The sequence below is a fragment of the Homo sapiens genome, chromosome 2, assembly GCF_000001405.40.
Source record: "Homo sapiens chromosome 2, GRCh38.p14 Primary Assembly".
Taxonomy (NCBI): Eukaryota; Metazoa; Chordata; class Mammalia; order Primates; family Hominidae; genus Homo; species Homo sapiens.
Window position 1 is genome coordinate 179272014 of NC_000002.12, and position 15870 is coordinate 179287883.

At 39.4% G+C, this 15870-nt stretch overlaps 2 annotated features.

Moving 5' to 3' along the window:
- Positions 2884 to 2933: an enhancer, noted in NCBI's record as "active region_16821". NCBI's record gives its function as "activates an Ori minimal core promoter by ATAC-STARR-seq in GM12878 lymphoblastoid cells {active_cell/tissue: GM12878}" and the evidence as "EXISTENCE:reporter gene assay evidence [ECO:0000049][PMID:35858748]".
- Positions 5471 to 5971: an enhancer, noted in NCBI's record as "H3K27ac hESC enhancer chr2:180142211-180142711 (GRCh37/hg19 assembly coordinates)". NCBI's record gives its function as "activates a minimal SCP1, AML or CMV promoter by ChIP-STARR-seq in naive H9 embryonic stem cells {active_cell/tissue: H9 hESC(naive)}" and the evidence as "EXISTENCE:reporter gene assay evidence [ECO:0000049][PMID:30033119]".

A 15870-nucleotide genomic window follows, 5' to 3' on the forward strand; every position in this document is an offset into this window, starting at 1 on the left:
GATATTCATTGCAAGTTGTGTGCTTTTCAAAGCCTCACACTGGAAAGGTGATTTTTGTGAAATATTTTATTACCCACTCAAATGTTAAAATTATAATGTAAATTACTTCTAGTCTCATCATTTTATATTAAAAACCTATACTTAATTACATTTTTCTGGTTTGTGAATGTTCCTTTAAAATCCTAGCCTAGAAAAAATCCTTCAATTTATTCATGATGATGGTAGAAAAACACAATTATATTTGATCAGAACATTTTTACTTATTGCTTGCATTAGAAAATTTGAATCTAAAAATATGGTATTCAGAGCTAAAGAGGTAAAAATACTTGATTGTCAAATTCAATCTGCATAGTGAAATACTCAGATCTCATTGAAAAAGTATTAGTTAAGTTACAGAGAAAGCTCTTTGGTTTCTGTTACATGATATTTCAATATGGGGCTGGGTCCTAGATATTAGTAAGACAGAAAAGAATGTTAAAAACAAGCTTGGTCCAAGTCATAAGGTTCTCTGTTGTTTTTCTAATGTGTGCCAGTTATCAGATTGAATACAAAGGTCAATATTTATCTTAGCCATCAAGTAATGTGTTCTGCTCTGGACTCTAACACTCTAGGCCAGGGACTAAAGTGTTTTCCTCCTAGCTTCAATTCTCTGGTGGTAAGAAATGGTTCTCTTGTTTATCTACAGTTTTTTGTTTTTTTTTAATCCTGTGTTTTTGGACAAAATAGGGACAAACCACATTTAAAAATAATCTCTACCCATGCCCAGGCTCCTTCCACTCTGTCACTCCTTCCAGCTGCCCTGGAGAGGTGTGTACAACTCTTCTGTTAACGAGCAGCTTAATGGCAGCTCGTGAGAAGTCTCATTGCATAAAGTCGGAGGAGGCACTAGCAACACAGAAGCAGAGTTGATTTGGTTGTGGGATAAAGTAGAAAATGGAAAGAATTGCCTTTTGTATCAGTCTAACTTTTCCTCTCCTTCTGAATAAAACATTATTGTGTAACAAAGGGCTTTTAAACAATTTCTTTCTTTCTTAAGTTGGCGATTTGACAAATACAGATTGTGTCATCCTGGGTTAAAGCCACTTCTTAGGGTGTGGAGTTACTTGATTCCGGCACTGTGGATCAGTGTGCTCAAAACATCTGACACCAGCTAGCTTTATGCCTCATTAATATTGTCTTAGATTTAGGGGGAAAAAAGGAATGAAGAGTAGGTTTCTCTTTGGGGTCTGGAAGAAGGGGAGCCACCGAGTTAACCGTCTTACCTAGTTAACCATTTTATAATGAAATCATAACTTTTTGTATAAAAAAGGTAGATAGAATGAATATATTCTATCATCATTTCTAATGATGGAAAAATTTGTCATCTAGACTTCTCCACTTAAAGTAGTAGCAAATTTGGGGCAGAAGCTATTGCTGCTGTTTAGCTTCCCCTCCTGACTACCAATCCTGGGTGTCTTGTCTGTACAGAAACTGTGCCTTGATGCTTCCAAGCAAGAGTATCTGACTCTGGAAGTATTTAGAGATGCTGTGTGCAGGCATCAGCTTGGTTGTATCTGGGAAGATGTATCATTCTAATGTTACGTGGCCAACTTTTAAACATTTTACTTGGAAAAAAGATAAGCATGAAGAAACATAGGAAAAGACATTCAATGACTTCTTTGTTCATGCAACCAAAAACGTCAGGCCAGCACTGTGTTTGAGACCTGGAGACAAAGACGGGGATGTCATGTGTTTGCTCTCATTGTAACTGGGAGACAAGAACCCAAGCAAACACTCAATGCAACACGATATATACCACAGTTGTAATTAAATTCTACGCAAAACGTTAGCAGGACCCAAATAGGAGTCACTGCCAGGGTGTTTAGTGAAGGGTTCACTGAGCCTTTGACATTTGAACTGAGTCTAGAAGAAAGTCATTAACTCAGCAGAGAAAGGGGGGAAAAAGCAGAAGAAAAAGTATACAGTGGTTGAGAAGCACCAAACAACATGCTGTTTGGAGGAGAATTTAGAGTATTCTTGCTGTGGCTGCATGAGGATCATTTAAGAGAAGGATCAAAATGGGAAGTACCTGTGGGCCACGGGTGGAAAACTCAACAGGCTGCAGAGGCCAGGCAGGTAACCTGAGGCCAGGCAGGTAATGTAAATGACGTAAGTTAAGCAGCTTTAGGCACAAAATGTATTTGCTGTGTGTGTCAGAGCTGATAGCTCACTGTAGGACACAAAAACCTCTAAAAATAGTGCATAAATTATATTTTCCCCCACAATGTGAGAGATTGTCTTTTTCCCCATACTCTTTCCAAAAATGAGTATTTACAGTTTTTTTTTTCATTCATTCATTCAACAAACATTTATTGAGTGCCTTTTATGTTAAAGTATTATATTGGGAATTGAGGATGCTACAGCAAATAAAACAAAAATTCCTATCTTATGGAACTTACATTGTAATGAGAGAGGAGACAGAAAAAGAAGTAAAATGTGCATTTGTCAAAGAAATGTTATGGAGAAAAATTAAGGAGGGAGAAGTAATAAGGAATGGGAGATAGTTTGGGTTTTAGATTGGATGACCTGGAAGGTCTCACCAGGAAGGTAGCCACTGAACAAAGACTGGAGAAGGTGAGGGGAGGGAACTATGGGAATGTTCATCTGTAGGAAGAACATTTCAAGCAGAGGAAACAGCATATGAAAGGACCTGAGGTGAGGTCATATCTGCCAGGGCAAGGGGGAAAAGGGAATGGGAGGAGGGAAGAGAGATTGTATAGAGCCTTTTAGGGAATTGTAAGGACTAAGGCTTCAGCTCTGAGCAAGTTGAAAAACTTTTGAGCAGAGGAGTGATAAGTGGGGTTTGTATTTTTAAAGACTCACTCTGGCTGCTGCGTGCAACCAGAATGAATCCCTTGGGGGAAGGGTGGAAGTACAGAGACCAGCTGCAAGGTGAGAGCTACTACACAGGGCAGACATGATGGTGGCTTGGCCCAGTGTGGTGGCAGCAAGGGTAGTAGGAAGTGGTTAGATTCTGGTTATATGTTAAAGATAGAGCACCAGCATTTCCGGACAGATTGGATGGGAGGTGTCACTAAAACAGAAATCCAGGGATAACTCTGAGGTGTTTGGCCTGAGTTATTAGAATGATAATATTATATTTACTATGGAGAAGATTATGAGGAGGAACAGTTTGGGAAAGAGGCAGAGCTCAATAATTTGGCTTTGAAAATGTTAACTTTGGGATGCCTATCAGACAGTAAGCACACATTTAGAATAAGCAGCTGGACAGATGAGCCTGGAGTTAAAGAAGGAGGTCTGGACTATAAATATACATTTGGAATGTGTTGGTGTAGCAGTGTATATATAATGTTAAAACCATGAGACTTGGTGAGATTAACTAGAATAGAGAAGAGGTCTAATGACTCAGCTCTGGAGTACTCTAACATTTAGAAGCAGGGAAAATGAGGAGGAATCAGCAAAGGAGACTGAGGAGAAACAGCCAGTGAGGTTGGAGAAAAACCAGGACAGTGTGTTATCCTGGAAACCAAGCAAATAAAGTTTTCAAAGGACGAGGGAATGAACAACTCGGTCAAATGCGACTAATAGGGCAACTGTTTCAGTCAGACTTTTTCTGAAATAGAACCAATAGGATGTGTGTATAGAGACTTTTTTTTAAGGAAATTAGCTCATGCAATTATGGAGGCTAGCAAGTCCAAAATCTATAGGGTAGGTGGACAGGCTAGATATCCAGGAAGAGCTCATGATGTAATTCAAGTCCAAAGGTCATCTGCTACACAATTCCTTCTTGCTCAAGGAAGGACAGTCTTTTGTTCTATTGAGGCCTTCAATTGATTGGATGAGGCCCGCCCATGTTACAGAGGGCAATCTGCTTTCCTCAAAATTGACTGTTGTAAGTGTAAATCTCATACCAAACCATGCTCACAGAAACATCCAAAAAGTGTTTGTCCAAATATTTGGACAATATGGCCCAGCCAAGTTGACACATGAAAATACTTATCACATAAAGGAAGGGTGGAACAAGATGGTGGAATAGAAGCCTCCACCAATCTTCCTGCTACAAGGATACCCATTTAAGAACTATCTACACACAAAAAAAACCTTCATAAGAACCAAAAATTAGGTGAGCACTGATAGTACCTGATTTTAACTTCATATTGCAGAAAGAGGCACTGAAGAGGTAAGAAAAACAGTTTTGAATCACTGATGCCACCCCTCCCCCATCCCCCGGGCAGCAGTGGCGTGGTGCAGAGGACATTTCTATGCACTAGGGAGAGGGAGAGCCAGCATCTATGAGGCATTGAACTCAGTGTTGCCCTTACTGTAGCAGCAAAACCAGGCCAAACTCAGCTGACATCCGCCCATGGAGGGTGCATTTAAAATAGCTCTAGCCAGAGTAGATTCACTAATGCTGGCAGTCGGAACTTGAGTTCCTGCAAGGCTTACCACTGCAGGCTAAAGTGCTCTGGTGCTTCAGATAAACTTGAAAGACAGTGTAAGCCACAAGGACTGCAACACCTAGGACAGCCCTAGTGCTTAACTGGGCCAGAGCCAGTGAACTGGGTGGGGCAGAGGGTTGGGGGCCACGCAAGCTACTGGGACATCATCTGGGACAGCTAAGGGAATGCGAGCATCACCCCTCCCTTAACCCCAGGTTGCACAGCTTGTGGCTTCTAAAGAGACCTCTTCTTTCTGCTTGAGGAGAGAAGACAGAAAAGTAGGGAGGACTTTGTCTTACCCTTTGGGTAGCAGCTCAGCCAGAGCAGAATAGGGCACCAGTCAGAGTTGTGAGGCTCCTGTTCCAGGCCTTAGCTCCCAGATGACATTTCTAGATACATCCTGGGCCAGAAGGGAACTGACTGCCTTGAAATGAAGGATTCTGTGTGGAAGGATTTATGATCTGCTAACTGAAGAGTCCTTGGGCCCTGAATAACCAGCAGTGATTCCCAGGTACATCAGAGAACTTTGGGTGAGACTCTGAGACTTCCTGGCTTCAGATGAGACTCAGCACATTCCCAGCTGTGTTGGCTACAGATTGAGACTCCATCTGTTTGAGAAAAGTGAAGGGACAAGTGAAGGGGACTTTGTCTTGCACCTTAGGTACCAGCTCGGCCACAGGTGGGTAGAGCACCAAGTGGGTTCCTGGGGTCCCCAGTGCTAGTACTTGGCTTTTGGGTGGCATTTTTGGATTGGCTCTGGGCCAGAGGGGAGCCTGTTGCCCTGAAGGGTGAGTCTCAGGTCAGGCGGCAATCACCATAAGCTGACCTAAGAGCCCTCAGGCCTTAGGAAACATCAATGGTGGTCTGGCAGTACTCTTTGTGGGCCTGAGGTAGCAGTGGCCATGGGGTGAGGCCCCTCCACCTTTGGAGAGGAGTAGGAAGAGTTGGAAGGACTGTGACTTGTGGTTTGAGTGCCAGCTCAGCCACAGAAAAATTGAGCACCAGGTAGACTTCAAAAGTTTTTGACTTTAGACCCTTACTCCCACATGGCCTCTATGGATCGTCCCAGGACCTGGGAGAACTTGCCACCCTGAAGGGAGGAACACAGGACTGGCTGGCTTTGCACCGGCTGACTGTAGAGCCCTGGGGCTTTGCATGAACATAGGTGGTAGCCAGGAAGTGATTACAGCAGGTTTTGGGCAAGACCCAGTGCTGTGCTGGCTTCAGGTTTGACCCAGTGCAGTCATAGGGGTAGTGGCCATAGGGGTGCTTGTGTCACTCCACCTCCAGCTCCAGGTGGCTCAGAGCAGAAAAGAAACTCCATTTGCTTGGGAGAAAGTAAGGAAAGAGAACAAGAGTTTCTACCTTGTAATCCAGAGAATTCTTCCAGACCTTGTCCAAGACCATGAAGATGGTACATCTGTGAGTCTGTGAGAACCACAGCACTATGGTGCTTGGGGTTCCCCTTAAAGCAGATACAGCTTAAATTGCAGTACCCACATTCTTTCAAATAGCTGGAAAGCTTTCCAAAGAAAGACAGGTATGAACAAGCCCAGACTGCAAATACTGCAATAAATACCTAACTCTTCAGTCCCCAGACACCAGTGAACATCTACAAGTATCAAGGCAATCCAGGAAAACATGAACTCACTAAATGAACTAAATAAGGCACCAGGGATCGATCCTGGAGAAACAGAGATATGTGACCTTTCAGACAGAGAATTCAAAATAGCTATTTTGAGGAAACTCAAAAGAAATTCAAGATAACACAGAGAAGGAATTCAGAATTCTAACAGATAAATTTAACAAAGAGATTAAAATAATTAAAGAGAATCAAACAGAAATCCTGAAGCTGAAAAATGCAATTGGCATACTGAAGAATGCATCAGGGTCTTTTAACAGCAGAATTGATCAAGCAGAAGAAAGAATTAATGAGCTTAGAAACAGGCTATTTGAAAATACACAGTCAGAGGAGACAAAATAAAAAATTAAAAACAGGCCAGGCGCGGTGGCTCATGCCTGTAAGGTGGCTCATGCCTGGGAGGCTGAGGTAGGCAGATTACCTGAGTCAGGAGTTCGAGACCAGCCTGGGCAACATGGTGAAACCCTGTCTCTACTAAAATACAAGACAAAAAAAAAATTAGCGGGGAGTGATGGCATGTGCCTGCAGTCCCAGCTATTCAGGAAGCTGAGGCAGGAGAATTGCTTGAACCCGGGAGGCAGAGGTTGCAGTGAGCCAAGATGGTGCCACTGCACTCCAGCCTGGCGACAGAGCAAGACTCCATCTCAAAACAAAAACAAACAAAAACAAACAAAAAATACAAAACAATGAAGCACACCTACAAGATCTAGAAAATAGCCTCAAAAGGGCAAATCTAAGAGGTATTGGTCTTAAAGAGGAGGTAGAAAAAGAGATGGGATAGAAAGTTCATTCAAAGGGATAATAACAGAGAACTCAAACCTAGAGAAAGATATCAATATTCAAGCACAAGGAAGTTATAGAACACCAAGCAGATTTAACCTCAAGGCATTTAATAAATAAGCTCCCAAAGGTCAAGGATAAAGAAAGGATCCTAAAAGGCACAAGAGAAACAAAACAAATCACATACAATGGAGGTCCAATATATCTGGCAGCAGACTTTTCAGTGGAAACCTTATAAGCCAGGAGAGAGTGGCATGACATGTTTAAAGTGCTAAAGGAAAAATCCTTTAACCTAGAATAGTACATCTGCTGAAATTACCCTTCAAACATGAAGAAGAAATAAACACTTTCCCAGACAAACAAAAGCTGAGGGATTTCATCAACACCAGACCTGTCCTGTAAACAATGCTAAAGGGAGCTTTTTAATCAGAAAGAAAAAGACAATAATGAGCAAGAAGAAATCATCTGAAAGTACAAAACTCAGTGGTAATAGTAAGTACACAGAAAAGTACAAAATACTGTAACACTGTAACTGTGGTGTGTAAATTTTTTTTTTTTTTTTTTTTTGAGACAGAATCTCGCTCTGTTGCCCAGGCTGGAATGCAGTGGCGCAATCTTGGCTCACTGCAAGCTCTGCCTCCCGGGTTCACGGCATTCTTGCCTCAGCCTCCTGAGTAGCTGGGACTACAGGCGCCCACCACCACGCTCAGCTAATTTTTTGTATTTTTAGTAGAGACAGGGTTTCACTATGTTACTCAGGATGGTCTCGATCTCCTGGCCTCGTGATCCACCCGCCTCGGCCTCCCAAAGTGCTGGGATTACAGGCGTGAGCCACCGCGTCTGGCCTGTAAAATATTTTTATCATAGGTAAAAAGACTAAACAATGAACCAGTGAAAAATAAGAGCTGCCACAACTTTTCAAGACATAGAGAGTACAATAAGATATAAACAGTAACAAAAAAAGTTAAAAAGCAGGGGGACAAAGTTAATGTGTAGAGTGTTGTCTTCTTTTTGCTTGCTCCTTTGTTTGTTTTTTTATGCAAACATTGTGTATTGGTCCATTTTCATACTGCTGTAAAGAAATACCTGAGCGTGAACCCGGGAAGCAGAGCTTGCAGTGAGCCGAGATTGCGCCACTGCAGTCCGCAGTCCGGCCTGGGGAACAGAACGAGACTCCGTCTCAAAAAAAAAAAAAAAAAAAAAAAAAAAGAAATACCTGAGACTGGGTAATTTATAGAGAAAAAGAAGTTTAATGGACTCACAGTTAAACATGGCTGGAGAATCCTCACAATTATAGTGGAAGGTGAAGGAGGAGCAAAGTCACATCTTACATGGTGCACACCATTAGATCTCATGAGACTTATTCACTGTCATGAGAACAGCACGAAAAAACCCACCCCCATGATTCAATTACCTCCCACCAGGTCCCTCCCAAGACATGTGGGGATTATGGGACCTACAGTTCAAGATAAGATTTGGGTGGGGACACAGCCAAACCGTATCACAGTGTTAAGTTGTTGTTAGCTTAAAATAATAGGTTATAAGATAGTATTTGCAAGCCTCATGGTAACTTCAAACCAAAATCATACAACAGATACACAAAAAGTAAAAAGCAAGAAACTAAATCATATAACCAAAGAGTATCACCTTCACTAAAAGGAAGACGGAAAGGAAAGAAAGAAGGAAGAGAAGACCACGAAACTAGCAGAAAACAAATCACTTACTTATCAATAATAACATTGAATGTAAATGGATTAAACTCTCCAATCAAAAGACATAGATGAGCTGAATGGATTTTTAAAAAACAAGATCAATGATCTGTTATCCATAATAAACACACTTCACCCATAAAGACACACACAGACTGAAAATAAAGGGATAGAAAAAGATACTCCATGCCAATGGAAACCAAAAAAGAGCAGTAAACCAATAGAATAACTATACTTATATCAGACAAAACAGATTTCAAGACAAAAATTATCAGAAGAGACAAAGAAGGTCACTGTATAATGATAAAAGGGTCACTTCAGCAAGAGGATATAACCATTTTAAATATACATGCACCCAATACTGAAGCACCCAGCTATATAAAGCAAATATTATTAGAGCTAAAGAGACAAATAGACCCCAATACAATAATAACTGGAGACTTCAACACCCCACTTTCAGCATTGAACATATCTTCCAGACAGAAAATCAACAAAGAAACATTGGACTTAATCAGCACTACAGACCAAATGGACCTAATAGATATTTACAGAGCATTTCACCCAATGGCTACAGAGTACACATTCTTTTCCTCAGCACATGGATTATTCTCAAGGATAGATCACAAAACAAGTCTTAAAACATTCAATAACACTGAAATAATATCAAGCATCTCTTCTCATCACAATGGAATAAAACTAGAAATCAATAACAAAATGAATTTTGAAACTGTACAATTCCATGGAAATTAAACAGTATGTGCCTGAATGACCACTGGGTCAATGAAGAAATTAAGAAGGAAATCGAAAAATTTCTTAAGACAAATGATAATGAAGACATAACATACCAACACCTATGGGTACAGCAAAAGCACTACTAAGAGGAAAGTTTATAGCTATAAATGCCTACATAAAAAATAAGAAAAACTTCAAATAAACAATAGAATGATACATATTAAAGAAATAGGAAAGTAAAACAAACCAAAACCCCAAAAAACAAAAGAAAAGAAATAATAAAGATCAGAGCAGAATAAATGAAATTAAAATGCAGAAAACAACACAAAAAATTAATGAAACAAAAAGTTGGTTTCTTGAAAAGTTAAACAAAATTGATAAACCCTTAGCCAGATTAGCTAAGTAAAACAGAAGACATGCAAATGGCAAACAGACATATGAAAAGATGCTCAACATCATTAATCATCAGAGAAATGCAAATCAAAACTATAATGAGATGTTATCCCGTCCCAGTTAAAATGGCTTATATCCAAAGATAGGCAATAACAAATGCTGGTGAGGATGTGGAGAAAAGGAAACCCTCGTATACTGTTGGTGGGAATGTAAATTCGTACAACCACTATGGAAAACAGTTTGGAGATTCCTCAAAAAACTAAAAATAGAGCTACCATACTATCTAGCAATCCCACTGCTATATATACCCATAAGAAAAGGACTCAGTATATTGAAGAGATATCTGCACTCCCATGTTTGTTGAGGCACTGTCCACAATAGCCAAGATTTGGAAGCAACCGAAGTGTCCCATCAACAGATGAATAGATAAAGAAAATGTAGTATTTATACACAATGGAGTACTATTCAGCCATATAAAGAATGAGATTCAGTCATTTGCAGCAACATGGATGGAACTGGAGGTCATTATGTTAAGTGAAATAAGCCAAGTACAGAAAGACAGACATTGCATGTCCTCATTTATTTGTGGGATCCAAAAATCAAAATAGTTGAATCCATAGAGATAGAGAGTAGAAGGATGGTTACGAGAGTTTGGGAAGGGTAGTGGGGTGGTTGGGGGGAGGTGGGGATTGTTAATGGATACAAAAAAATAGAATGAATAAATAAGACCTAGTATTTGATAACACAACAGGGTGAGCACAGTCAATAATAGTTTTACATTTTAAAATAACTAGCAGAGCATAATTGCATGGTTTATAACACAAAGAATAAATACTTGAGGGGATAGATACACCATTTTTCATTATGTGATTATTATGCATTGCATGCTTGATCAAAACATCTCATGAACCCCATAAATATATACACCTATATGTACCCACAAAAATTAAAAATAAAAAAATTAAAAATATCATCACAGCAAGGACTATATGGTTTGAATATTTGTGTTCCTCCCAAAACTCATGTTGAAAGTGAATCTCCTATGCAACATTATTAAGAGGAGGGACTTTTAGGAAGCGATCAGCCCATGAGGGCTCTGCCTTCATGAATGGATTAGTGTCCTTATAAAAGGGCTCAAGGGAGGGAATTTGGTCTGTTTTGTGCTTCCATACTTTGACCTTGTGAGGGCATAAGGGCATAGTTGGTGTCACCTATGAGAAATAAGCCTTCATCAGGCACTGAACCCGTCAGTGCCTTGATCTCGGACTTCCCAGTCTCCAGGACCATGAGAAATAAATTTCTGTTACTTATAAATTACTCCATGTCAGGTATTCTATTATGGCAGAACAAACAGACTGAGACAAGGAGTAAGATGAGGTGCAAAAGTGACCCTTGCACTTGGAGATTATTGGTGACCTTAGGAAAAGCAGTTTTGATGGAATGATGGGAGAGGAAGTTTGATTGAAAGGGGTTCACAAGAAAATGGGAGAAAGGTCTTATTTTGCTACAAAACGATAATGCCATGCACTTCTAGGCTTACACGATTTGGGGGAATGAAAGCAAAGCAGTGGGCTATAAGTCACCAGGTCAGACTGACCCAGAGAAAGTGTCCTGGGGCAAGTTGGAGAACTGATGAAGAGCAGCTCTCACAAAGCCAGAAACCTGGAGAGGAGTTACGGTGGTTCCAGATTACTAGTGGGGCATGTGGCTCCACACAGAAGATGAGTTTTGGAGAAACACATCTTCAGATTAGGACTCCAGGATTCCCACAGATTAAAATCAATTAAATGGGAGTTCATAATCAACGGTTATAAAAAATATAAACAAGCAAATTCATGAAAGTATCAGAAATAACCAACATCACATTTAGTTCAATCGGAGTTTCACATACTGGAATGATCAGACAAAGAATATGAAACAAATTATATGAAATGTTTAATGTTTTAAAAGATAGAAACACAAAAATTAAGCAAGCAATAAGAGGCTCTTCTATAAGACCAGGCAAATTTGAAGACAAACCAAATAAAGCTCTTAGAAGTTAAAAAAATAGAATTGCTGAGGTAAAAAGTTTCAATTGATTGGTTAAAGCACACATTAGGCAGAGCTAAATCAAAATATTGGCAAATTCGAGGACCCATCTGAAGAAATGATACAAAGTGCAGCCCAGAACACAAGCAGATAAAATATATGAAATGTTAAGAAATATGCAAACAGTCTTATCAAATTAATAGGAAGAGAGAAAGAGAAAGCCCATTTGCTTCAAAGGCCTAGCAGCTCACCAAGCAGGTGGGCAGAAGATAAAATCCATAGGCTCATGCACACTAATACTGAACCAGAAAATCTGAGGTTGATCCGACTAATATTTTTTCCTTTGCGGGCTGTGGAGGAGGGGGTGGGAAAATGCAGAGCCAGCAGGAGTTTCTCATCCTAGTTATTAATAATAAATGAAATGCATAAATTGTGGAAGCACTTGCAATGTGCATGCTTTAAGATCTTCCTGTAAAATTAATCTTGCCATGTGACATCAGAATTCTCCTGTGAGTAATTTCTTTTTCTGTAGCTACAAAATATTTATGTTTCTGTTATTTATAAAAACCAAAATTCAAATATTCTTTCAAGCCATTATCTTCTTTTTCCTTCCATTCAGTGACAACTTCCTTGTGCGTGAAAAATATCCAGAATTGAAATGATTACTTGTTCACCATTCATTCACTACTTGCAGCCTCCCCACTAAATCAACTGACATAGTTCTTTCAAAGTTAACAATGACTACTTAATTATCATATTCAGTGATTTTTTCCCTCTCTTCCCTCTTTATAGTACTTGATACTGTTAACCACTCATTCCCTTTTTCTTTTAATCAACAAATAGTTATTAGGTTTTCACCAGTCTCTAAACTAGGATCTGGGGATGAAAAGGACATTCTCTGATGTCAAATGTTGTTCAGTCTATTTATCAAAGAAGATGTGCACAAACTATGTGATATAAAGCAGTAAAGGCAAAAAGTAGAACCACAAATGAGGGAGAAATTGCCTCTACCCAGGGAAGTCATGAATGGCTTTACACTTGAGTCTTCTAGAAAGACAGTGTGTGTTGACCAGGTGGATGGAAACAGGCTATGGCATCATTAGTGGCAGAGGAAGTACATGACCAAAGGTGCAGAGACATAAAGCATCCAGGTCTGCTGAGGGCACTGCAAATAGCTCAGTATGTCTAGAACATGGGAACCAAGCTGGGCTTCACAGCTAGAATGAAAGGCAATGCAAAATAACAGAAGACTTTGAACTTATCAAAGGAATTTGGACTTAAACCTATAGGCACTACACAAGGTGCTAACAAAGTTCTCCTTCTCCTTTTTGCCCTTCTTAATACACTAGTATTTTGCAAATAACACACTTACTTGCAAGTAGATGGAAGCTGGATTGGAAGGCTATAAGACTGAAGGTAGAAGACCATGTGGGAAACTTGAACTTCTGAGTGAGAAAGGATAAGCATCTGAACTAAGAAGGAGGCAGACAGATGTGAGAGGTGGTGGACTGAGTGAATGACAGTCCCATTGGGAGAGAGGGTATACAAGGCAAAGGAGCAGGGTTTGGGAGGATGTTCTCAGGGATGAGGAGTGTGGGCTAACTGGGCATCCCAAAAGGGGACTAATCCAATTGGTGACCATGTATTTCTTTCTGCCCTTTTGTTGCTATAATATTTATCACTTTCTTCATTATAAAATACATACCTTTCATTGCAGATGATTTCAGCCATTCTGAAAAGCATAAGGAAAAGAAAAACCACCAGTGATCTCATAATACAGACATTTTGGAATATTTGAAAAGATCACACCACTGCACTTCAACCTGGGACAAAGAGCAAGACTCTGACTATAAAAACAAAAACCAAAAAAAGGTGTGCACTATGCACATATGTACATTTTTAGAAAATTGTTTCTTACCCTATGTAGAATGTTATAGCCTGCTTTTAACATTTAATCTGCACCATGAGCACCGTTCTGCATAATAAGATAATCTTTGGATATATCATTTTAATGACTATATAGTGTTTTATCCTATGAATGAACCACCTTTTTTTAACCTATTGATTAACATTGCAATTGACTTATGTTTTGCTCTCAGATATAATGCTATAATGAACATTTTGCATATAATATTAGACAATTTTGATTATTTCCTCGGTACAAATTCCTGGAAATAAAAAATACAGTGTCAAATTTAAGAAAAAACATGCCAGGCACGGTGGCTCACACCTGTGATCCCAGCACTTTGGGAGGCTGAGACGGGTGGATCACTTAAGGCCAGGAGTTCGAGACCAGCCTGGTCAACACAGTAAATAAAACCCCATCTCTACTAAAAATACAAAAATTAGCTAGGCGTGGTGGCACACACCTGTAATCTCAGCTACTGCGAAGTCTGAGGCACGAGAATTGCTTGAACCCAGCCAGCAATGGTTGCAGTGAGCCAAGATGGCACCACTGCACTTAAGCCTGGGTGACAGAGTGAGACTCTGTCTCAAAAAAAAAAAAAAGTTTAAGAAAGAACAATTATAAGGTCTCTTGATACATGCTAACAAACTAATTTCCAAATATATGTCCCAATTCATGTTCCCATTGGCATTGAGAACTTCATTACAATTTTTTTTTACTAAATATATAAGCAAAGATTTCTTCTTTTTAAATTTGCATTTCCTGAATGATAAAATAATATGTTTATTGGCAATTGTATTTTCTTCGTGAATTGTCCCTTCATTATTCATAGATAATTTTTCTATTAGAATGTTGGGTTTTTTCCCTTGATTTATATTAGTTGTTTTTATACTAAGTATATTGACTTTTTTAAAATTCTGCCATACTTTTTTGCAGATATTGATATACAAAGTTTTATAATTATTTTACAGATAATGGTATTTATCTTTTCTTTTGGAACCCTTGATTTTCTTCTCAAAACTCTTCTCTTTCAATGTCCATGACACTGTTTTATCCTGTTTTTCACTTCTCAGTCTATTTCCCTGTTAATGGTGTCTAGCTGACATTTTTTCCTTCTTCACATAGAGACATTTGTCAGTCCTTGGTCCTTTTCTGCCAATATCCTTATACTCAGAGACCTAATCTATCTCAATGCCTCAGTGTTTTTAAATACTGAGTCTCTTAATCTAATTTTTTGAGTACTATATGTACATAATATTAAATTCAAAACCACAAAATAATATACAGTGAAAAATAAGTCTCTTTTTTCTCCCTGACCCTGGGCCATCCAGTTTCTCTCCTAGGAGCTAACCACCACTATTAGAAATAATCTTTTGTGGAACCATCTAAGAATAAGTTATGCATTTACAACTATTCACAATAGCAAAGACATGGAATCAACCTAAATGCCCAGCAATGGTAGACTGGATAAAGAAAATATAATACATACACACCGTGGAATACTATGTAGCCATAAAAAAGAACAAGATCCTCTCCTTTGCAGGAACATGGATGAAGCTGGAGCCCTTTATCCTTAGCAAACTAATGCAGGGACAGAAAACCAAATACCACATGTTTTCACTTAGAAGTGGGAGCTAAATGATGAGAACACATGGGCACATACAGGGGAACAACAGACACTGGGGCCTAGTGGAGGGTGGAGGGTGGGAGTAAGGAGAGGATCAGGATAATCAGGATAAATAACTAATTGCTATTAGACTTAATACCTTGGTGATGAAATAATCTGTACAAGAAACCCCCATGACAAAAGTTTACCTATATAACAAACCTGAGCATGAACCCCTGAACTTAAAAAAATAAATTTTTACAATACAAATTCTGAGCTACATTGAAATCTACCAACAAAAATGGAAAACGTTTATTGTTACCTTGTTAATCTTTAACTTAAATGAAAATACTGATATTGGCCGGGTGCAGTGGCTCATGCCTGTAATCCCAGCCCTTCGGGAAGCTGAGGCAGGTGAATCATTTGAGGTCAGGAGTTCGAGACCATTCTGGCCAACATGATGAAACTCTGTCTCTACTAAAAATATAAAAATTAGCCAGGTAAGGTTGTGCAAGCCTGTAATCCCAACTACTCAGGAAGCTGAGGCAGGAGGATCACTTGAACCTGGGAGGCGGGGGTTGCAGTGAGCCAAGATCGCACCACTGAACTCCAGCCTGGATAACAGAGAGAGACTC